The sequence below is a fragment of the Homo sapiens genome, chromosome 2, assembly GCF_000001405.40.
Source record: "Homo sapiens chromosome 2, GRCh38.p14 Primary Assembly".
Classification (NCBI taxonomy): Eukaryota; Metazoa; Chordata; class Mammalia; order Primates; family Hominidae; genus Homo; species Homo sapiens.
In genome coordinates this window covers 192064457-192090273 of record NC_000002.12, presented here as the reverse complement: position 1 = coordinate 192090273, position 25817 = coordinate 192064457, and the positions used below count along the sequence as shown (strand labels likewise).

The following is a 25817-nucleotide window of genomic DNA, read 5'->3' as shown; positions in this document are numbered from 1 at the left end:
CCTTCAGTTGTTGAGCCAATACATGTTTATTGTTTACTTTTTATATGATAGCACTAGGCTAGGCACCACTAGGCCAAGGCACACTTGACCATAAACTATGACCCCAATCTGAAAGATTTTACAGTCAAGTTTATCATTCATAAGGCAAGAGGAAAGAATGCAAAATAATATATACCATTTCTAATTTGTATGCTATAGAAAATAAGTGAAGTGATGCTTACAGAAAAGAGAAGCAGATCAATTATGGATAGAATGATGTAGAACATCATTGCAGTCAACTGGTGGATGGATAGAATTCTCAAGAAAAGAGAAGAGAAGTCATCTTACATAGGGAAGTCAATGCGTGGAGAAAAGAATATGCTTATGAGGGGAACAGATAAGACCATTTCTTAAGTTTAAGGGTTACTGTGCTCCAGACATTGTGCTACATGATTTATATGTCTTTTCTTATTTAACCTTCTCAGCAATTCTGTAAAGTTATGTAAAGAGTTATGGTCCCCATTTTACAGATGAGAAAACAAAACCTTAAAGAGGTTACGTAAAGTCATACAGCTTGGAAGAGGAATAACTTGGTCTGAAGCCTGGTGACATGACTGTGTGTCGGCTACAGTGCAAATAGTGGCTACATGCAGGTTCAGTCTAGGATGGTGGCTGTGGGAACCCAGAGGTAGACCCAAATCGCAGATGCTGTTCTCACGAAAAAATGGTCAGGACTCTGTGGGTATGGAGAAATACATGAAGACTGTCAAAGATTCTAAGGGTTTTACTCCAGAAGTTGGGTGCTGACTTTAAGACCCACTCAAAAAGAGTGGGGAGAGTCTGTTCTCTGAGATCCTGCACTCTCTGGAGTTATCACAGAATTTCAAGAGCAAAATTATCTGCTGCCTAGAGAGCAATATTCAGTCATCCAAACCTTTGGGGGGAAAAAAAGACTAAGATTGTTTGGTCCCTAGGCTGCTTACCTAATTCTTCTATCAAATAACTAGGTCAAGTAGGAGGATGCTTGGGTGGGATTGAGGAAAAAGGCCTTTCCTGAGCCTAAAGGGATTTAAAAATAAAGGGAAAAGAGGTTAGGAAAGACTGTGCTGGAGCCTAGGGAGCAAGAGCTTTGTCTAGGTACCCTAATTCAGTGAAAAAAATGGAGCAATTAGCTGAATTGGAGCAATTCAATCCCCAAGCGTCACTTTTGTCTTGATTTTCAATAAGTGTACTTACCAGACAAATGTCTACTGAGTACCTCCTATGGAAAGTGGCTTAAGAGATACAAATATCAATTAGATACAGATTCCATCCTCAAAGAGTTTATTGATATTTATGGGACCACATACCCATAATTAACCCTGTAACTGGGGTGAACATGATTAATAGCTTGAGCTAGGCAGATTAAATTATTTCAGAGCTCAGAAGAGAAAGACTTCTGTAAGAAGGGACAAGGGTAGGTGAAAGGCTAAGAACAGAAGGTATTTTGGAGGTGGTTTTTGAAATGTATGTGATAGGCTTTGGACATTTAGGGATGGCAGAAGAAAAGAAACCAATTTTAGGCAAAAGGAATAGCATGAATTAAAAGATTAAAAGGTGGGAAAACATGAAATATGAATAGGGAACAAACTTGAGTACTTGGGTTTGCCTAGAGAGCAAAGAATACATGAGTATTTCAGAAAATACAGGATAATTGATTCAATTTTGCACTATATTCTGCATATCGTTTCATTTGTAGCAGCTTATGCTGACACCATCGCTATAGTGGTGCCCATAATGTTAAAGTCAACTCCCCTGACCTAAGTGTTGCTCATTGCTTCTGCCAGTCAGGTCAGGTGACACCCGGCCCTCTTTGCAAATTCACAGAGGTGATTTGGAAAAATGCAGACACTCCATCAGCTAAAAATCCATCGACCGCATATTTCCCCAGCTATTGGACATAGTCAACGTTAATAGTCCATGTAAATAGTCAGTGTTAGTAAAGGCAGTGTGAGACTCCCTTTCCCACCTCCCTGTTAGTCTTCTACATCCCTTCATGGATTCAGTCTTTTCTTACCTGTGGGCACAATTTAGCTTCCTTGGATGTGCTAGAAAAAAAAAAATAACTATTTGATATGAGCTTATGGTAAATTTCTAGAAAGTGATAAAATTGATGTCTATATTCAGAGGCCCTACAAAGAAACTGTTTTCTCACTGTTGAGTTACCGACAAAAAAACCTGACACTGAAATGCTGCAGTTTCTTAGTAAACCAGGCAGCTGGAGGGCTATGAACCACACTGAAAAGAGTTTGCCTTTTCTAAATTAGTGTTTTGCTCAAGGGGAGGAGCAGGAACTAATTGTAGTAAATATTGCCTCCCAGCATTTAATTCTTTATAAGTAAATTTACTTTTGGTTTAATAAACACATTATTTCACCTTTTATATTCAAATGTCGTATAGCCAAAATATATAATATTATGGTTTTCTTCTTAAAGGTATTAACAGAGGAGTCAACAGACAGTACAGGGATCTGAGTCAGTCAAGTATGAGTATGATATAGAGAACTTCCTCAGAAGAGCATTTGTCAGTGTCACACCCACTGTACATTAAACATAGTAAAGTTTATAATATAATCTTGAGTCTCATTTATTGTATCTAGTTATAACGGATCAGCTCCCTTTTCATTTCTTCTTTAATTTCACTGTGGTAACATGCTTGAGTGAATTCAGACATGGTACATTTAACCAATTTGGCAGTATGCCTTAGGCTTTTTAAACAAACAAAGATTTGACGGGCTGTCTCTAAACTCGAGCCCCTCAGGTAATTCTTGCAGCTGTAAATACTACCCCTAAGGTGATTTTTCACTGTACTGTTGGGACCCAGGATGCTATAAGAAAGTGAAACCCACACACTTCAGGACCAATATTAATTCCTCAGATTTCTCTCCTCTTTTTAAGCTGAATGTTGTCTTCCCTCCAACTTATGATTTCCGCAACCCTGGCACTGTATTGAATTAAATTGTAGGCTGTTTTTTTTCACTAGGTGTTGCATGTACTTCCTAAAAGCCATCATGGTTGGGGATTAAATATCTTGCAAAGTTAAGACATAGTGAATGAATTACTCTATCGTTTTTCTGAATGAACAGACAAAACCCTCCTCATAGATTAGTTAACTGGATTTTTTTCCTGGAGCTCCTTCCCAGAGTAGGGTATAAATAAGTATATTTGTTTATAATAAATACATAATTTATATAAATCAATATTTACAATAAATATATAATATATTAAATACAAATATCTTTTTATGGCTTTATAAATTGAGAATATAATTTAATGTCTGAGGTGAAATTTTTTAATGTTGAAAAGATATATACTTCAATTATTTTCTTCTTAAATCCAATCTAGCAAATGATGCCTAACTTTTATTATACATAAGTCAAAAGGGAAAATTGGCTTTTAATGTATTTTCCTACCATGTTTAAATTGCAACACTATATGCTAACAAAATAAAAATATTTCAAAGCAAGTGTCTTGAGAGGTTGCATGTAGGCCAAAAACAATAGGAAGTATATTCCACAATGAATTAAAGACGTGTGAACTTAAGGTTGCTTGTCCCCTGGGTAAGAGATTTGTCTTGTTTTGTATTAGCTTGGCACCTACCACAAGGTAGATGGATCATAAAATTTGATTATTACTATGAACTTTTTTTATAACCCAAACTTATGACCCATGAACACCACCTCATCTCTCATCTAACAGCCCTTTACCTTTTTTGAAGTGTTACCAAGGTAATACATACTACAAAGCATGCACAACAAAAGAGATGGGAATTACAACAGGAATATTTCATGGGCATCCAAATTGTAAGCAATTTCCATAATCAGGGATTTGGTAGACATCTACATAAACCTTGACTCAAGACAAAAACCTTGTCAGAAGGATATTATTTTCTAAAGAAATCAGGTTAAATTACAGGATAATTGCAGTTATCTTTACGCATATTATTTGTGGAGGAAAACAAACCTTGAAATGTGCTTTTATATAGACTTTATAGTGGCTCACTGGTATTGCATAGAATTATGAAGGCAAAAATAAGTCAACCAACAACCGGATATGCCAAAAGCTTAGATGCTATCAGTTGTGGACAGATATCAATGAGTCCTCTAGCCAACTATTATTAAATAATTGCCTTTCCCTAATATCATTAATGGCCGAAGATACAGATTTACACAAAATAACAAATTTCATCTTTCCTATAATGCCTTTGATCTTTGCAATGGCCTATAGTATTGATGGGAGTTGGTTTTCCTAATGAGGGAATTGACACACAGAAAAAGGTAAGGATTTACTAAAGATCATAGCAGCATTTCGAAGTTGCTCTTCTTCGCTTTTGGGAAATGAATCCTGTCTATATGAATATATCCTTTGAAATGCAGAGTTCTCTAGAATACTAATTGCATGATTAGTCAATGCTCCTGTGAGATGATGGTGAAAGTCCTCTCTTAAGAGCTTCGTGATCAGATTTGTACATTTGTATGCTAGGTTTCTCTGACCTGACTTTGTTTACTGAATTCTGAAATTACCTCTTTTGTGGTTTTTTTTTTTTTCCTGCTTCTATGAGTTCACTTTCTATCTCCATAGATATGGATTTCTTCATCACATTCCTCTTTAATGTGGTTATTAGATATAGAGTGCAGAAGATTTCATAGTTGAGATAGCGAGATGGAACCAAGCACACTGTTTTGAGGTTTGCACCCTCCCAGTTTATCTCTTCATATGGCTGCCTGGGATGGGATCATGCCTTGCCATCTTTAGGAGCAAGGCCTTTCAGCTGCTGTCAGATTCATTTAAATAACCCACAGTGAGTGATGCCCGACTATGTGGTGCTGTTTGATGTGCAGAAAATGCCAGGGTGCATATGGAGAGTAAAGCCCTGATACCTTGTTTATCTCATTTTGGCCTCGCCGAATGTGCTGCCTCTCCCCAGCATTCCATCTCAATTTACTGAGGAACTGTGAGCTCAAGGAACTTATCCAAAGTCACACATGAGTGGCTTACCAGAATTCATACCCCAGAACTGTCATGGTTCCTAAATCCTTTATTATGAGCATTATACCATACCATCTCCAGGTCTCAGTATTAACATCATGTAAATTTATTCTCCAGCATGATTCATTAAAATGAAAATGGGCCATTCTCTCTGATTCTCCAAGCACTTCAGAAGAAGCGTTACATCCTGAATACAGATTTCATTTCTGTGAAGGAGACGAGAAAAGAAGCTAAACCTTTGCTTGTATTGGAGGCTGGTTCAATTTTTAAGGGCTTTTATGACAGTTTTCAGTTTAAAATATTTAAAGAAAAGCCAAGCAGTGTTAAGGTTAAGAACAGCTACAATTGCATTTTTAACAGTAGGTAAAACAAGGAAACTAAAAAGTGCCTGTAATTCAGTGGCAAAAACCTAATGAATCCCCTCTGGATAAAATGTTAATGTAAAACTAAATGAAAAAGAACACAATCAACCTGTGCTAGACACCCACTCACATTTTAAAATGCTTTTTGTCATCATAAAATACATAAGCATCAAATGCCTTTTTTGGCGGTATCTCATTTTTTGTTTAACGAATTAAAATAATATTAGAGCAACCACTTATATGTAGCTCCCAGTATAAAACAATATAAAAAGAAATAAAACTCAACATATAAGCATGTTTGAAATTATAGTGAAGAGGTAGAAAGGTGAAAATAAAAAGTGGAGAAATGTAAAAATGTGATTTTATCTTTTTCTTCTCTTCAGTAAGAGTCCTTCCACTTTGGGTCCGTTCTTCTTTTTAAAAAATATAGAGAATACTTGCCCTTTTTTTTACATGGATGCTTAGGTTAACTATTATGTTCAACAAAAGGCACTTATTAAGCACCCATATGTGCCAAGTAGCAGAATTGGCACTATTTGGAAAATATCATTTCCTCTCTCAAGGAAGTTATAATTTTGCTGTGGAACAGAGAATACAGAGAAGAAAATGTCAAGTAAGTGGCACACACAGTAAATATTGCGGGTGTTTTGATGAGAAATGCATGTTACAGCAAAAAAATCAGCCTTCCAAATCAAAGCAGAAGCACAAAAGATGGTTACAGACAGCGGAAGAGCCTGACTTTAGGGTTCCGATGGACCTGTTTGCAAATACCATCTCTACCACGATGAGTTGTGTGATGTTGAACAGGACTTATTCCCCAGATACAAGAAGGGATGATACTATCTACCCAATAGAGCTATTTTGAGTATTAAATTAGAAATATACACAACTAACTTTCCCATCAATGGTAACAATGATTCTAGTGGTGGTAGTAATAAGAGCATTTTTCAAACTCCTGGAACCAGTGACTTGTATAGAAAAAGCTCTGAATGAATTTCAATTCCCTTTTCTAAGACCCCTTTTACCTGCAACACCATCTAACTCTAATTGCATGAGTTGAACCTTAAGTCAAAATAGATCCTACAAGTTTAGAATTGGAGACAGACATTTCATATGTGAATAAAGAGTAAACAAAGTCTGGAATTTGAAAATACAATTAGGGCCTTTAAGAAACGATGAACATACTAGATTCAGGGGGTAGGTGTTGATTGTAAAGTACTACCACATGCGTTTTGAAAGCTGATGAGCTGTCTAAATACTACATATGGTAACCGCTATGTAGAGGATTTTTTTCTACTACTTGACTTTGAAATAACTTTTCTCCATATGCATGCCAAATTAATATAGCAGAGGGAGAAGTTCAATTCAGTTCACTTCATCAAGTATTTATAATTGCAGAATGCCAGAAAAGGACATTTTTCTTGATCAACATCTGCATTCCCCTTCCAGTAAGTCCCAATAGACTTACTGTCCATATTGCTGTTTTCTGCATAAATAGGAAATCTTGGAGGTTTGGCCTCTATACTCTCCTGAAACCACATATGACAAGTAGAATTGTTCCTTGATACACTGAGTTTAGATGATTGCCCCAGCCTTCAGATCACCTGATGGAGAGAACTGGGGACAGACTAGGAAGGGGGCAGTGATTTTTAACAACTGGGTACAAAAGAACACAGGCAGAGCCACATTCATCAGTCATTCTTCTACTCCTCCCTGGACACTACCTACTACAAATTTTGCCTTCCTTTATACCTCCCAGTTGGAATCTTGAAATTTTTTTCCTAAGGGCCTGTAAATGTCACATATATAAATATAGGGATTTAGCACATAATATTATAGTATTATGTGTCCCTAACGAAAATGTTTTAGGTGACAAGAGCTTCAGCAACATCACAGAAGAACGCAGAGGTAATCAAAAGACCATGTTCGGAAAAAAAAAAAAAATCAACTCTCTAAAAATCTTGTTGATGTCGACACATTCCAAACGCAGGAAACTTAACTGATAAAGTAAAATGTTCTATTTAGCACTTTGACATCTTTTACTCTCTTCCGTTTTTTTTGTAATTGAAAACATATTTTATGGTTGAAAATAAACTGTTAACTCAAGTGCATGAAAATTAATTTTTAGGAATAACAGTTTGGGGAAATGCACCAAAATAAATACCAAGTGGAGAAAAGAGGTTCCGAATCTAATTCTCGAGGAATGTCATTTCTCTATAGAATCCCAGTAAGTAAATAGGCAAAGCAGTTTTAATAAAAGTCCATTCCAGAGTAAACATAGTTAACAAACATACATATAGAAAGATGTTTACTCCAGGCATAGTCCAAGAAACAAATACAATAGCCTTATGATACACATGATTTAAAAGTTTAAAAATGAAAAAAAGTGACAAAATGTTAGCAAAGTTGCAATAAGTCTCCATATTCATTTGTTTTTGGTAGCATTGAAAATTGGATGATTCTTTTAGAAAATCATAGGTGAAAGATGACAAGTAGGTAATATTTAGCATGCTAACTCTGACTTTCTGTTTAACTCCAGTGCTGTTTGGCGCTCTGTGCTGATAAGAATCCTAAAGCCTCGTGTGGTCTTAGCGGGAAAGAGCACTAGGCTAGACGAGAAGTGTGTGCCACGGGTAAGGGAACAATAGTAAGAAGTAAGGATAAATGGTTTTAACATTCCTTGATTTAAAAAAACTCCAGTCCTAAGCAAATGTTTCAAACAATATAAAAAATCTATTTATAAAGAGGTTCATCACAGAATTAACTGTAATGGCAAAAAATGACAACTTTAAAAACAATGGAAATAGGCCGGGCACGGTGGCTCACGCCTGTAATCTCAGCACTTTGGGAGGCCAAGACGGGTGGATCATGAGGTCAGGAGATCAAGACCATCCTGGCTAACACGGTGAAACCCTGTCTCTACTAAAAATACAAAAAATTAGCCTGGCATGGTGGCGGGGGCCTGTAGTCCCAGATACTCAGGAGGCTGAGGCAGGAGAATGGCATGAACCCGGGAGGTGGCGCTTGCAGGAGCCGAGATCGCGCCACTGCACTCCAGCCTAGGTGACAGAGCGAGACTCCATGTCAAAAAAAAAAAAAAAAAAAGGGAAATCGTTTAATAATTATGGTACCTCATCAATGATTTTCATGTATTTAAAAGTATGATTTTAAAGATCATGTTGAAGACAATTTCCTCCATTCCTCCGTTATATTTTTCCATGTAATATGCCCATATGGTAAGCAAACAGAAAATAATAACTAAGTTGGTTAAAAAGCATTAGGAGTTTTCTGCCACTGAGATCAGTTTTGTATCATCCCTCACCCTCTGGCATTTTAAAAAATAATACTTATGATTCCCTGATTCTATGGAAAGAAAAGCATATTTTAGCACAGTTGATTCTGTAGAAATTAAATTTCAGGTATATGAATTTAACAAATTAGCACGTCATCAGGCTGATTGTTTGATCTTTCTTAAATTAGAATTAATAAGGCTGGAAAGAAATTACTTCCAGCTCGTGCCTCTTTATACGGAAATTTGCTAATGAAACAAAACCTCAAACTACTTAAGTATGAAACAAATTTTCATGCCCTGCATTTTCAGGCTTAGTATTAAAGTAGACAAGCTTCTTTGCAAACAAATTTTTCAGAGAAATCTTCAAGACTAAATTACAAAGCACACTGCATTTTCTGCAGATTTGTGGTAAACCAATAAGCTATGCAGCAAGCTGCTACTAGAAAAACAAAGCGTATCACTTTGCTTTTTCAGTTTATTTATGTGTGTTTTGGATAGTCCCTAGTATTGCATCCGAAAATACCTGTTACAAGATGTTCTTACTTTCATTGATCACTGTCATAACAAAAAATTACTGTTCTTGTAACATTTCTATACCATCTTTCTAAATATTATTGCAATGAATGCTAATTTTAAAAAATACTTTATTCAGCAACGACAAATAAAAGCACAAAGGATAGTTATCTTTTAAGATTTACCTTTAAATATCACACAGAATTACATATAATGTTTTGCAAAATATTTGATCAAAATGTTTGATCAAATATTTTGCAAAGCATTATACATAATGAGAAGCAGAAGATGAAAATTTGGAAATCAAATAAGCTTTTGGATGTATAAAACAGTAGCCTAATAAGTACATGTATGGGGTTTGGAAAAGAGATTACTCTATATAGTTCAAGTCTTTATTGTAGTCAAACAAGGAAATTGTGAGACATCAAACTGGTCATTTAAATCGATATGTGTAAAATTTGTGCAGTTGCAGTGTCTCTGGAAATATCAAATTGACTTACTCTCTCTACCTCAACACAAGCCTCACAAACGTGTCTCTATTAGTCCAATTTCATACTACTATAAAGAACTGCCTGAGACTGGGTAATTTATAAAGGAAAGATGTTTAATTGACTCACAGTTCAGCATGGCTGGGGAGGCCTCAGGAAACTTACAAACATAGCAGAAGGCAAAGGGGAAGCAGCCACCTTCTTCACAAGACAGCAGGAAGGAGAAGTGCTCAGCAAAGCGGGATAAGCCCCTTACAGAACCATCAGATCTCTTGAGAACTCACTCACTATCAGGAGAATAGCATGGGGGAAACCGCCCCTATGATTCAATTACCTCCACCTGGTCTCTCCCTTGACACGTGGGGATTATGGGGATTACAATTTAACATGCACTTTGAGTGGGACACAAAGCCTAACCATATCAGTGTCCAAGAAATGTGTGCCACATAAGTTCCTAAATGACTAACTGGAGTAAGCCTATGTGATGGTAAATTATTTTGTTATAATGTGGTCTAATTGATGTGAGCTAATATGCCTTAATTTACATTGATAGTAAATTACTCTATTGGACTATGTCATCATCATTTAACCATTTATAAAATTGTATTTGCTCTGCCAGCCTCAATTCTATCACCGCATACTTTTGGTTATAGAAAAGACCAGTTCTAAAAATAATGGTAAACTTATTTGGATTAAGGGAATCTAATCATCTTTATACTTATCATGTATCATGGTACTCAAGCTTACATATTTTTCTATCTTCCTAGGCTGTATTTACACAACACGATATATAAATACCAAGCAATACACATGTTTGGGTTATTTAAAAACTAATAAAAAACAAGGAATATTTTAGATCTTAAAAAGCCAGTAAGCAAATCAAGAATTTATTTTTAGAAAGCTGATCAAAGTTTAGATAAAGAAATGACTGAGGAATATAAAATTTGGAAAGTAAGGAAAAATCATTTTAATCTTTATTTGTACATATATTAGAGTCTAATACTCTAACAACAATACATAGTACCACAATAACTCAAAAAATAAAGTTTATTTCTCCCTCACAATGACCGTCTAGGCCTGCAGAACAGATGAACAGCTTTGATCCACACGATCACTCAGAGATCCATGTTTTTTCTATTATTTAATTCTGTTGGGTCCTCTGAGAAATAGTCATTGTAACAAATGTAATTTTACAAAAAACCTTATTTGATGAGTGGAAGATAAAACGAGGAAGAAGCAAAATTAGGCTACAGAAGCCTTCCAACTGTGCTGCAGGTCCGAAAACTATGAAAAGAAAGAGGAAAGGAGGCAAGATTTTGCACAGCAAAGCTGAGACCATCATGTAAATCTGGTGAAGATTAGGTCAGCCCAGTGTACATCTGCAGAGCAAATATTGCTTATTATAGAAGTCTCATATTGGGCAAAAATGGGCTGACCCTAAAGCCCTCACTGTGCTCAATTTTTGGCTGTGGCTGCCCAAGAACAATGTGGCCTTGGCTTGAAAGCTGAGGTAAATCCTGAAGGCCTTAACGGTTGAAGGTGCTCAGCCAACTGCCTATCTTGCAACTACATGGCAAGCTCTTTTCTTAATGTGAGATCTGGGATGAATGCCTCCAAGGCTGCCATATTATGTAATAAAGGGAGAATGGGTTCAGGGTACACCAGCTGTTGGCACAATATGCATATATATCCCATTAGTAGGAATAGAATACAAAGAAATATTGATTTAATAATTGGTTGGATCCTGCTAAATCTATCTGGAAGAGGGCTGTATCAGAGCAGTGAGTGTCATGTGTGCTCTTAAGTTTGAGAAACATTTATAGTTTTTTCCTTTTTCAGACCAGAACTGATATAGTCGATTAGAGAGTAGAATTTGTTGTCAAATTTGTGATATTTTAAAATTTATAAACAGACACTACATAGAATATAGTTTTTCATTTGTATTGAGATTTAGCTGAAAGAATAAGAAAGAGCTAATCAGGGTCCTTTGCCTGAATTCCCCACAAATAAGCTGTAATATGGAGAATCAGCAAGGATAAGTGATGAATTTTCCTGATTAAATTAAAAATATCTCTGCAATGTATCTCTAACACTCACAGTAAAAATTCTTACTCTCTATTGCTGTCCAGATCCAACTACTAGAATTAATTCTGAGGAAAAGGAACACAAGAGACTGGGTTTGAATATAAATATTTTTGTCCAGATCCAAGGAGTTAATTCAGTGAAGAAATAGCTTCCAATCCAGAGAGATAAAGAATAATTTCTACTATTTATTGAAAGTCTACCATTTATTGACATATGTCAAGATCTTTCTATATGTTGCATGTAATCTCAATATCCCTGCAATCAGTACTGTTACCCTCATATTACAGATGATGGAACTAAGGCTCAGAGTTTTACTGATTACCCAAAGACATATGGCCAGTACAGACTTAACCTGGTGTTATACTCAGATCTCAGTCATCCAGAACCCATCAATTTTTAATTATGCCATTGGCTTTCTATTAATGAACAGTCCTTTGGAATAAGCATTCTTTCCTTTTCTTAAGTGTTTATAATTGGTCAGATTTGAAAATTTTTGCTTTTTAAAAAAAGACTATAGTACAGTTTAAATGAATGTGCACTGTTTATGGCAGACTCTAGTGCTTGCTAGAGTCTGTTTATTTTCTAGAATTCACACACGGGGGTGGCAAGGAGTCAGATTTAGTTTAGAAAAAATATTTAAATAATGTTTTAAGACATAGAAGTTTTGTTAAGTCTCTTATAAGAAATCAGAACGTTGTGCTTATATATATAAACATATACAAATATATACATACATATAAAATTGTATGTGTACAAGTATATATGAACACATATGTTCATTTATATACACATAAATGTAGACAAACTTGAAAACATAAATTTAAATATCCATGATACCTTCTGTATCCACTCAGACATTATTATATAATTGACATTCCTCATTCCTGGCCTCATTATTGCTTGATTTAACGATCAAGAAGTAGAAGAAAGACACCCTTGGAAGGTTAATAAGCCATCCAGAAAATTAGATTAGAATGATCAAACCTTAATGATTATTGTTTCTCATTATAATAGATCACCTAAAAGTTTGAGGAAGAAAAAAAATAAATTGGCATCATTGGGCAATTATACTTGTAGTTTTCCACAGTAGATTTTACGGATGATCACCAGTTATGAATCCTTTTCATATCGAAAACCAGAGTTTTTTTATACATTATACTTCCATTATTATAGTAATCAAAGGCCATGTATTTGATCATCATCATAATGGAGTACTTGAGGCATTTTCTTCTTTGCTAATTGACAGTTGGTCAGTTAAGAAGTGCTTTTCACAAAATCTTCCATAACCTTAAGGGTTTGAATTAGCTTGTAATAAATGCCTGAGAAGCTCCTCTAGATTCTTAAGTGCATTTGCTAAAACTCTCAACCGCTATTTTCCACCTTCTGGTCAGGAAATGCCTTTGATCTGCCATCTAGCTGCCTTACTTGCATATATCTATCTGTCTCAAGCATTGTAACCCTACTCATCAGCACAGTGACACATTACCATTTAGATATCATTTTCTGATGACCGATTTCTCTGAAAAAGAAAATGAAATGCTAACAGTAGGAAAAGGGTCAAACTGAAGCTCGGATTGTCCCATTTGGAGAATTGCAGGAGGTGGTATGTAGTCAGAAGACTGAGCCCTGAGCTTGATCTTCACTCCCACTTTAATTACACACCTAAGCACTTCCTGTGCAGACTTTTTGGCTCACTGGCTGCTCCCTGATCACTCACATGCCACTTCACCATCTGTGGTGGGACACCCTGCCCCAGAGCCTGAGTTCCACAATATCAAAATCCAGTAATACAAAATTGCTTCCTTCAATTTCACTCTCCCTGCCACTTACCAATGAGGTGGTGCTAGTAGAGGGTGGGCAAGGGAGTGAATTGGAGAAATGGGATAAATGAACTTGCTGCTTTTTTAAAAGGAAGAGTGCAGTGCATGGTCTTAAAGCATGATGATACTATAATATCCATAGTGACAGGGACTTTATTTAGCTCAGTTTTCTCTCCATTCTGCCACTTACGTGTTTAGTAAGTGTTGGTGGAGTAAATGAAGACGCTAGAGAGATTGGTTTATATCATTGAATTAAAAATTATATCTAGTTTTACTTCGATTCTCTCATGGCATTCTATTTTTAAGTAAATAAAGATTTAGAGAAGATATTTGTGGTGCATGCTCCCAAATATTAGGAATTTAATTGATCAGTCTAAAACCTCTGTTAATAATAGGAAAGGAAGAAAGAGAATAGGGGAGACATAGAAAGGAGAGGACAATAATGCATGTGAGTTTCTCAAATATAACAGAGCAATAGATATTTGAGTAAAGAAAGCTTATAACTATAAATATATACCTATAAATACTAAGTTGGAAAAAAAGACTTTTATCTCTGACAAAATTTAGTAATTTTATTCTTTTTCTTATGTAATAAATATTCCCTAAATACCTACTCTGTGCCAAGTAATGTGTGGCTGCTAACACACAGCAAAATGAAACAGATTATGCCCACAGAGAGACCACAGAGGTAGTTCCTTACACTTTTACTTCTTTCCTTCTTTGCTTCCTTCTTTCCTTCTTTGCTTCCTTCTTTCCTTTCTTCCATCTTTCTTTTCTTCCTTTATTTGTTCCTCCTTTTTCTCTTCCTTCCTCAAGTACAGAATACAAAGTCCACAGTATGAAAAATGAAATGCATCCTTAGTATCTCCCGCAATAGTTGAATTAATCTGGAAAAGTTAGAAATTGAAAATCTCTTTTTCTCCACTGAAGTTAGCTTCTTCAGTGTGCTTCCTAATATTTAAAATAAATATTTTGCAATTAGGGCAAAATATGTTAGTGACAGCTGCAGAGGCTGAAGGCTTCTATTTATTCAGATACCCATTTATCTCCAAAATATCAAGGCAATGGCAGATTCCCAGCTTATCATTGCTTCTAGATGTGAACACATAATTAAATCTCTATATGCCTTCGTTTTGCTTTAATCTCATTCCTCAAACTGCTAGTAATGAGAGACCTGTTGATGTCAGTTGGGAAGGTAATTCTTTGTAGGAAATTTTTAGCCACCGAAAATGAAGTCTGTCCTATTACAAGTAATATGCTGCTCAAGGGTCCCATGTTGTCTTTGTTTAAACTCACAGAGCAAAATTTATACATGGAAGAATTAGGCCCCCATGAAAAGAAAGCACTTTTGCAAGGATATACATAGTATGTATGTATATATATATATATATATATATATATATATATATATATATATATATAATAGTACTGTACTCTGGGTATAATAATTAATCTCAGTGGATGAGATAGGCATGCTAATCCAAACTATAAATATAATTGCAAATATAGAAGCCAGAGCCTCGGACAGAGGAACCAAAGATATTCATTATAGCGACATTCATCCTTCTGTGCCTAGTTCGAGTATTCTAATCTGTGGAACCTCAAGCCACAGTAATATTGATGCTCGTCATTAAGATGTTTAGAGAATAAATTAGAAGACAGCTTTGTTTGAGCTCTTGGGATACAATGAGTATGTTTTTATTAATTAAAGTTTTCTGTTGTGTTTGTTTATTTATCAAGAGAAATATATACAAAAATAACACACATAGACACACCACACATATATGATCATAGTAAGATATTCTCTCCACTTCATGAGAAGATGAAAATGGCAGTCATGCTATCTCTTATTTTATAAAATTTGGAAGTCTGAAAGGCTCTAAAAAGCCCTGAATTGGGAAGATTGATTCATGGATGCTATTATATAATGTATTCGAGTTATATACTTGTTAGAGCAGCACTACCCAATAACATTTTTTGTGTTAATGGACATGTTCACAGTAACCACCAGCTACATGTTGCTGTTGACCAGTTGAAATGTAGCTAGTGCAACTGAGAAGCTGGATTTTTAATTTTATTTAATTTTAATTAATGTAAATTTAAACAGCTACAGGTGGCTACTAGCTTCCGTGTTGGAAAATACAAACCTAGAACATTTGATTTCCATTTTTTAAAAGACTTGTTTTGTTTTAATAATAGTAATTTAAAACACTGCTTTTAGACAAATATTAACCAAAAAGATATATAAAATAGTTTAGTTATCATTCAATAAATATTTATAGAATATTTTATGATCACCCAACAAAATGGATTTTTGATGCTTGCAATAAGATTCCTCCTAGAAATTTAGAGACCAAACTCACTACATTCTCCACCTTCTCACCACCCCTTTTCCTCAACATATGAGGTTTTGTAATTTGTAATTTAAAATGTTAAAACTAAATATAATTATTACAAAAGTGAGTCAAACCTTCTCAGAACTAATAGCAGCAACTTAAGGCAGGTTGATACTCAGGTTTGGATAAACCACACCAAGTGACATATTAATTTCTCTACTGGCTTCTTAGAAGAAAGATTTGAGGTCAGAAAATAAAGGAACTATAGGTACCCACTCTTTTAGTCATCTGACTATTTGATTTATTTGATGAGTGATCTCAGTTGACCCTCCCAGGCACTGAACCATCAGAGAGTTATGCTGCTTTGTGATAAGAAACCTTGAGAGATACCTAAATCTTCTTTTACCACTGGGAGTTTCATCTATTCTGGAATAAAGAACATTTTTATGTATGGTGTTTCTATCTAGATAGCTGTAGAAATATTCAGAAAAGATTCACAGACTTAAATTCATTCTGACAAAGATCTTAAAATTGTATAATATTTACCAAGAATATATTAGATAACACCTTATTTTGTTTTATTTTTGTTTCTTAAAAGGTGAAGGAATGGTTAATGTATTATACATTGAGAAGTCAATTAACTTTCATTAGCATTTGTTTTTCTGTATTTTCCTCAGAGACAAACCAAAAAATGAGGAATGTTTCTAATTTGATCTCTGGAGTAATCATAGATATGGATATTGTATCATTTAACAGACTTACTAAACAAACTAGTAGGTTTTGAAGTGTACATTTCTACGCACCAAGAATGCAACTGGCTTCTTAATTTTCCTGAAGTTCTGAGGCTGGTTTTTATTTATAATCTAATGTTGGGCTGCTGATGATATATAGTCTTGAGTTTTTAAATAGGAGTTAAATACAAGTAACTTGCTTAAAAAAAAAAAGTTGAAATCATTCCCAGCTGCACTAAAACTGATGTGTAGTATATGTTTTTAAAAGCAGGTTTCACAAGTGACACCCTTGGCTGTTACATCCTATCCCACCCACAGATTCCTGTCAACATATAGCAGTTTTCACTAAGGAGATTTCATTGTTTATAGTATACTCACCTTGCCCTGGGATTCTGCCAGGTACAGCTGATATAAAATACACACTATGATTAAAACACATCTTCCCCATTTAAAAATACCTCACCTGAATATTTTTTTCATTTATTTGCACAAACCCACCTATATACACAGAAATCACTACCTCAACCATCTGACCCTCTTAAGAGTAAAGCAAGGTACATGTTTTATTTGGAAACCCTTTTTAGGCAAAGGAATGTGGTTAACAACCTTTCTCTTTGAACTGCTTGTCAGGCAGTGTGGGAGCAGAGGAGGAATGAGATTTGTCATGAAAGACAGCCCATGCTTCTGACATGGAATTTAGCAACTCAGGTGGAGTCCTCTTCATTTGGAGTACTTGTGTTGTGCTGGTGGAAGGTATTCCTATATAGAGGTGGTTTTCCTGAAAAAAATGAATATGATGCAGTCTCCGTGGACTACTATATAGACTAAATCTCTTTTCCTCTCCCTTCTCTCCCATTTAAAAATGCTGTCAATACCAGTGCTTGTACATCCATATAATCCCGTAAGAATGGTGCTTCAGATACACAAAGAGAAAGCATTTGAGTATAGAGACAAAATCAGTTGCTACATATCAATATTTCACAAAGTTTTAAGTATTTCGTTTCATTAACATTTTCTTTGAATCACACCACATATTTTTCAGGGAAAAAAACTTCATTTTATCTAATCTAAAAATACGAATATGCATGAAGAAATCTAAGCAGCATTGAGGAAAAATGAAAGCAACAGTACAGGATGTTGTGTGGGTATGAATTTGGTCAGGAAACAGAATGTGTCTTGAGATAGAAAAAAAATGTGTTGCTTTTTTTTCCCCTTTTGGGGATACCCTGAATCAGCCACAATCTGATCTTTGTATCAAAGTGCTTTAAGTTTTTTAAAGTATGCATGTGAATGTAGCTTTTAAAATACAGGTGATTATTAGAAAATATTTCCTGTATGTTCTGTGAAAGTGAAATTGGGCCTATTTAAGGATACAAGAACTTAGGTATATTCTTGCACCTTTTTTGATAGTTATTATCAATATTAGCTCTATAGAAAAAGTAAGGTTAAATTGTTCTAAATGTTCCAACAGTTTCTTCCTATCTTCTGCTCTGCTAGAGAGCAACACCTCTCAAACCTTATCTACTTCTACTCTCACCTCTCGTATAAGGCTAGCAGACTATATATTCCTTGCTTCATACTGTATTTTCAAACCATTTTCAATGCAATCCAGCATTACTACCCAATAAACTGCTTCTTATTTGAAGTTCATGCTATTTGCCTATGCCACCTTTCCCCATACTTTAGTTATAAGCTGCTGAACTCCACATCACTATCATTTTTCTCAGTGACTCAGCACGTAACTTATTTTCATATTTAGTCGGCCCTCTGTATTGTGGGTTCCATATCCATGAATTCAACCAACTAAGGAATAAAATATTTGAAAATACGTGGATGGTTGCGTCTGTACTGAACATGTACAGATTTTTTCTTGCCATCATTCCCTAAATACAGTATAAGGATTATTTACGTAGCATTTACATTGTAGTAGTATAAGTAGCACAGAGATGATTTAAAGTAGATGAGAGGATGTGCATAGGTTATATGCAATTACTACACAATTTTATATTAAGGAATAGAGCATTTGTGGATTCTGGTGTCCACAGGAGTTCCTGGAACTAATCCCTCGCAGACACTGAGAGATGACGGTACTCTTTTTTAGGGTAACCAATCAGGTAGCTGGGTACTTGAGAGCTAATGGTGAAATTGACACGTTTCAGGTTTCTAAGAAGGTATTAGGTCTGTAATATAGACCTCATCCTACATGTAAGAATAAGCAGATTGCATCCGTGCCACTTAGCCTCATCTTGTAAAATATTCAGGTAATGCTAGGTTATGTAAAGTTAGGCAGTAGTAGAACATCCCCCAAAATTTAGTGGCTTAAGAAAACCAAGGATCACTTTTCACTCTCACTACTTGTTCACTGCAGTTGGTTAGGCAAGATGCTATGTGGGGCAGCTGGCTCTGCATATTGTAGTCACCAGAGGACCTGGGCAGAGAGCAGCTATCTTAAACATTGACATTACACCTGTCCCCAGTACATCAGTAAATCTTGTCAGTTCTCTTTTCAAATTACATGACACATTTGACACTTTTTACTATCTCTCTGCTGCACAGCCTCCTAATTTGGCCTCCTCCCTTACTTATTCAAAGCATTCGCTCAGTAGGGAAAGAGTGCTCTTCAGGGTCTGCAACTTGCAATTACATGCTATACCCTGAAGTGACCCCGTGTCACTTTCCACTCGACAACTCATTAGTCAGAATAAATAATGTGACCCAGTCAACCACAAGGCACCTAGGAAATGCAAACTTGCCTTATGCCTGGACATTTAGTACACAACTTTAATAACTACCAAAGGGTCTATTTGATCTTTCTTCTCAACATTGGCCCCATAGTCCTCAGACTCCTCAACTTCGGTTTAACCATCTGGACATGTGGTTACACCTTGTTATTACCTAGAACTTCTATGATTTAAAGATCTCAGATTCTGAAATTTCTCTCTCTGACCACTAGTTCTTACCTCTCAAGCCCCATGCTAAGATGGATATAAAATATGTGTAAATCCCTGGCAATGTGACAAGTATAATTGCAGCATAAGAAACATGCCAAGAGGCTAGAGATGAAGGTGAGATGGTAGGGTGGGGGAAAATCATGAAAGACTTTGAATACAATGGTAAAGACTGTGAATTTTCATCCTTAAAGCCTTTGAACTAAACAGGCTTGTATCTTAATCAGACTTATATTTTTAAGAAGTCATTCAAAATTGTTTATTAACCTGTATTTCATAGTTATTAGAAATACCTCATTGGCTTCTAAACTGAGGCATAATCTTAAATTATATGAACAGCAGTGAAGCCCTACAAAACATGAGTTTCAAAAATTTTGTCATTAATTCCATCAGTGTGACTCACAGTGTTATGGTCAGACGGATCCTTTGACATTTAAAATGCTTCTTGGATTTATTATTGTTACCAATATGCTTTATTCATTCACAAATCTAAATCATAGTTTATACCTGAAAATTTTAGCTTATGTGTCCTTCAATATTTTGTATAATGTCCTAAAAACAAGCATTAAACAAAAATAATAATGGTGCTGGTTAAACCTAAATCTTCATAGTTTAGGCCAATAGCAATTTTCCCCCCAAACGTGAAGACATATATATATATATATATATATATATATATATATATATATATATATATATATATACACACACACACACACACACACACATTTTTCTAAATCTAGAAAAAACAGGGAAATTGATTAATTTCCAATTATATTATAATTAAGTTATAAGGCGTTTAAAAATAGAAGGTCCATGAAACTTGATGCAGCTAGGAATGAAAGCAGTTTGAATTTAAAAACCTAAAGTTGAAAAAATTAGCCTCATTAAGAAGTTCTAAATAGAGCATTGTTAATTTTTAAAAATTTATCTCTTTGCATTTATCTCTGGATAACCTTGGTGATCTAATGGCAGTAAAATTTTCTCTAAAACTCATGCAATTTTTTTAAAACTAGATGTCTTTTCCACAAATATTTATTTTCACTTTGTAGTTTCAGACTGAGCTAATGGTTTCGTAAGCAGACATATTGATTAGTTCAAAGTCAATTTCTAACCTATTCCAGCTCTTCAGCTTTCTTAGACCATTTTGTGGGGTTTTTTTTGGTTTGTTTTCTTTTTTTTCATTTTGTGTAAGATGGGCATGTCTTCTTTCATACCTGAAATCAAATAAATCTGACCTTCCTGTCCTTAAATGTTTGAGGATACATTTTTCTTCTTGTTATCTATTTTTTTTGTGTGTGATGATTTAAAATGAAGTATGTGAAAACACTTTGTTTGGATGGGAATGAAACCTAAGGCGCTGGGACCTCCTTAATTGGCTGCTAGTGGAGCAAATTCCAAGATGGAGCATCACTACAGAGGTCTTCAGGGGTTCTAGCGGGTAGACTATAAATTATTGATTTGAAACCAGAGCTTGAGGGGCAGTTGTAAGCTGGAAGAGGGAATCACAGGAGTCACTGACTCTACCACCTAGAGCCAATAGCAAAAGAGAAATTGTAGAGATGAAATAGGGTCTCTCAATGTGAGTCGAGTAGGGGGTCAAGGAAGGTATGTAGCTGGATCTAGCAAAAGACTGAAGCTAATTACAGGCACTGAATTCCGTTTTTGCCATTCTTTCTAATGTTTTGGATATTGTAATTCCAGAAGAAAAAAAAAAAACAGGAACTGGGCCTTAAGTAACAACACTAGGCTGGAAAATATTACAGGCAATTCAAAAAAATTATTGCTACAACTACCGATTTTATAAAATATGTTGACCTCTTAAAATTGGCTTTTTATATTTTTTGCTACTCTTTTATTTCATTGGTCTATTTATACCAAATAAGTTATATATTTAAACAAGCCTGATTTTTTAAATTTCTTCTTTACCTCGACTTAGAAGTTAGACTTAGATGGATAGTGTTTCAGGCTTACAGTGAAAACTAATGCCCATAGTAGGCAAGTACTAAAAGAAAAGGATAAAGCCCTTATTTTGTTTTTGTCTTCATCAATAAGAAAAGAGAGAAAATAGCACTTTAGTGCTTTCTTTTATCCAAAGTCCAGTGCACTAAAACAAAGAGGCTGGAGCTCCGGGCAATTTCTGAAGATATCTACCAGGGACTTCTTATTTATTTCTTACTTGCTCCTTTGCTCCTCCCTTGATCCTTTTACTCCTCAATATAAGAAACCAAATTTAGATGTTTCAGGGAAAGACTTTTTCTATAGGCTCCATAATATTTTTATCTGTTTTTGTTATGCTGTTTTGTGTTTCTTATTCCTCTGTTCATACAAAGATTTCTACTTCAGCATCATTATAAGGTCAAAAATTCACATTTGAGATGCTCAGCCGTGGACTTCCTTCAAAGAACCATCTTACTTGGAATAAGAGAATGACTTTCCTTCACCTTTAACACTTTCTTAATGATAACGCCTTAGAGTGGCAGAGCAATTTAGAGGTTGCAAAGCAAAGTCACACATCCTCCTATTTAATGTGCTCCACAGCCTGTGAGCTGAGCAGGGCAGGCATCTCATTTTACAAGTAAAAGTTCTGAGCCTCAAGAAAGAATCTGGGCAACCCAACTCTACTTTTTTTCGCATTAGGAGAATTTTGTGAAGATGCAAGTGCATTTAGATTAATTAATGCCATTTTCAGTTTTAAGTGTCACTATCAGATTTTCATTTCAGTAAGTGACATGGGAGATATGTTTAAGAAAGGCAGGTTTGTTAAGTATAGAAATCAGCTAGTTAGAAGGTAACTTTAAAATTTAGGCAAGGTATGATAAAGATCTCAACTACTACCGTGGTGACAGAATGGGAAAATATTTAGGACACAAACATGGAGTAAGTTATTAACAGATTGTGAACTCCCTCTACCAAAACAAATTTTTAGTAGGTTAAAGTTAACTCAATTGGCAATTAAGTCTTTATTTGATTATTCAAATGAAACTTGCTCTATCACAAAATACCTTTAAGTTATCAAAACCAAATGCCATTTGCTAAAGACATACAGAAGTGTAAGTTAATAAAGATACATCTTTATTCATTAGAGGCTTACTAATTAGAAGAATTAAGTACAAAGTTGGCAAGCAACAAATTGATGTAAGGAAGACTTAGAAAGACTTAGGTCTTCCTTTATTCACATTAATTTTCCTGCAGTATTTCACATCTTTTTCCTTGTCACATCACCTCAACTGATGACCTCCTTAAATGTAAATACAAGAGAGACAATGAATACAACTAGAGGAGATCAACTTCATCTTGTCTTTTCAGTGGCACCACCTCTCTACATATGTACCCACATACTCTGCCATCCCTCTTCCTCCAGGAGAAGACATGGTCCTGCCTCTAAGACCAACCACTACCCCTCTGTCTAAACCCAATCCCTACTTTGCTCCTGTAATTATCCCCTTTCCTTCCCATCTAACTTTGTTCCTCTATGCTCTATGATTCCTCTTAGCATACAATGATGCCTCAACACTACTCTTCCATAAAATCTCTCTCTTGACCCTACATTTTTATCCAAGTAATGATGCATTCTCTGTTCTCCTCATTAGCAAATCTTGCAAAAGTATTGGCTACATTTGCTGTTTCCACTTAGTAACCTCCCAGGCTTTTCTCAATCTCCTCTAACTGGGATTTGCCCTCCAGTAGCCCAAGCGATTGTTTATAATTTACCAATAAAAAAGAAATTTCTCATCTTTCAGGAATTAAATAAGGAAAAAATTAAAAACCATTTATATGAATATGCATAAAATGATTCAAATAAATTATCCTGGGAATAACAAAGCTATATTTAATTATAATACCATAGTTGATATGATATATTTTCATGAAGTCTGGCATAGTAACCTGCTCTAAATGAATTTTGCTATGCATGATATCAGGCTGTCTGCCTTCCTTCCTTCATTTCTTCTTTTCTTCCTTCCTGACTTCATTAATCTCTTTCTCCTTTTTAAAATGAACTTAGTATCTTCAGTTGTAACTCAGGCTTAGATGATAATAGAATTGTCCCTCAACATAGTAGCTTTGTATTAATCTCTTAAATTATTTTTCATTAATATGCAAAGATAAATTATATGTGATTTCTAAAGAAGCTTTGTCAAGCTCTAGCAAACTAGCTTAATTATGAAAAATTAAATATTCTGTAATGATCTCTTCTTTTGAAGTCTTTAATATGAAATTACATTTGTTTAATCATAAGCTTGGTTCTTGGGCTTTTCAAGTGGATTTTAGAACCGTAAACCGTTATGTTTAAGTGTAATTTCAGGCTTCCTTTAGTTTTTGGCATTAAAATCAATTTAAAATTAAAAATTATCAGTGGTGATAGATTTTTTAATCAAAAAGAAACAAAGATAATGGATTTCCTCCCTAAAATCTGAACACGTTACTGCACTATGACACTGATACATATGCAGTATTAATTTGTTTTAGTTTTATAGATAACAAACCAAAATGCTACTTCTTGTTTTCCCATTTTAATAATACGATGTAACAGTATAACTATTATTCATATGGCTCATATATCATAATCTATGAAAAAAAAGGAAAGTGTTTTCTTGTTCTTATTTTTCTTTAAAGTCATATTGGGGTTTCTAGGGAAAATTTAGAAAATGTTAAAGAAAATATGACTACAGCTCAAAAACAACAGCTTAGAATTGTCTGGGCCTCTAGGAACTGTCAACAGCTTCCATCATTTAAATACAACTTACTCACATGTGGGAGAAGCATATGGAGGGAAAACTCACACAAGATGCAAAATAGGCAAGTTGTACAAATTAAAGAACAGAATGGAGAGTTTTTATTTAAAATTTTCTTTTTATTTTTCTAAGTCAAATATGTCCTTTATTTGAGCGTAAACTCACAATTCAGATTTTTTGTGATAATGAGACAATAATTTTTATAATTTATTCAAAAAGAAAAATTGTTCATAACTCGATAGTCATTTTAGCTACAACAGATATATTAAATGCTATCACTCATCATTTATTTATGTAAATAAAGTAAAAAAAGATAAGCCTATCAAGAACTATTTTGTTACCTATTTAAGAAAAAAACACAGACCACTAGATTGATATTGACTAAAATAGCAGAAATGTGCATTCTAAAGTTTGAGATAACCAGATTAATATCTGCATAAAATGTGTGTAAAAGCTCTTTTCTCAGCCTCGTAATAATTTAAATGAGTGTAGAACCAGTATTTTTGTGTCATATTTTAAATCTAGAAGTCTCATTATTTTTGTTAACATAACCTGTTAGTTTCAGGGACTGCCTGCTTTATTTCACACTTGATGTATGTAAATGCTTCTATTTATGCACATTTATACTGCATTTAATGTTATGCTATGCTTAATTTAAATGGGACGTCTTACATGTCAGTAGGAGAGAAGTACTAGAGCTACATGGAAGATAAAATTTGAACCATGCATAAAGTAGGAAGAGTAGCGTTACATTGGGAGAAAGCCAAAATATAATAGAAGAAACACACCTTAACTATTATCAAATCTAAGCTGACAAAGAAAGAAAATATTAGAAAGTTTAAAGGCAGATTTGGAGAAAATTAAAAGGAGATCTTGGTTTGTGTAGGTAAGTAAAGCAACCAAAATCTGAACTGTGGAAAGTGATGTAAAAATATTTATTTCCTTAGAATTTATCAAGAACATTGATCCATATTTTATTAGTCAGCTTTCATTAGGTAAAGCTAAAATTACAGATGACCTCAAAATCCCAGAGGCTTACAGAATCAATGGCATATTCCTTGCTTTGATAACTAAAGTCAACTGTGGCTGTGCTCTATGTATCTTTTCCTTCTGGAACTGGTTGAAGGAACAGCCCATATTTTGGAATGTGTCTTTTTTGTACAGAAGGAAAAAGCAAGAAAGAAGAAATTCACATGATAGCTTTTTAATAGCTTCTATTAAGAACTCTCTCAATTCCACTCACATTTCAATGGCAAAAGCATGTCAGAAAACTAATGATGATATCAGGGAACTGCAAGTCATGCAGCTATGGCAAGAAACATATAATCCTTTTATCAGAAAGGGAGGAAAGATAATGGGGGGAAATGATACAATCTACTGTGCATCATATGCCAAAAGTGTTTTTCATGGAGAATGTGGTACTATAGATAAGTCTTGAAAAGTTAAGGCAAATACAGAACAGACGTCAAATCATTTAGTAGCGATTGGCAGGGGTCTTCA

At 34.8% G+C, this 25817-nt stretch overlaps 1 protein-coding gene across 5 annotated transcripts in view; it reads left to right on the top strand.

Moving 5' to 3' along the window:
- The window catches only part of TMEFF2 (transmembrane protein with EGF like and two follistatin like domains 2), a 245888-nt gene that overhangs the window by 104660 nt on the left and 115411 nt on the right, over positions 1–25817 (top strand). The gene's annotated exons all lie outside the window — the stretch shown is intronic.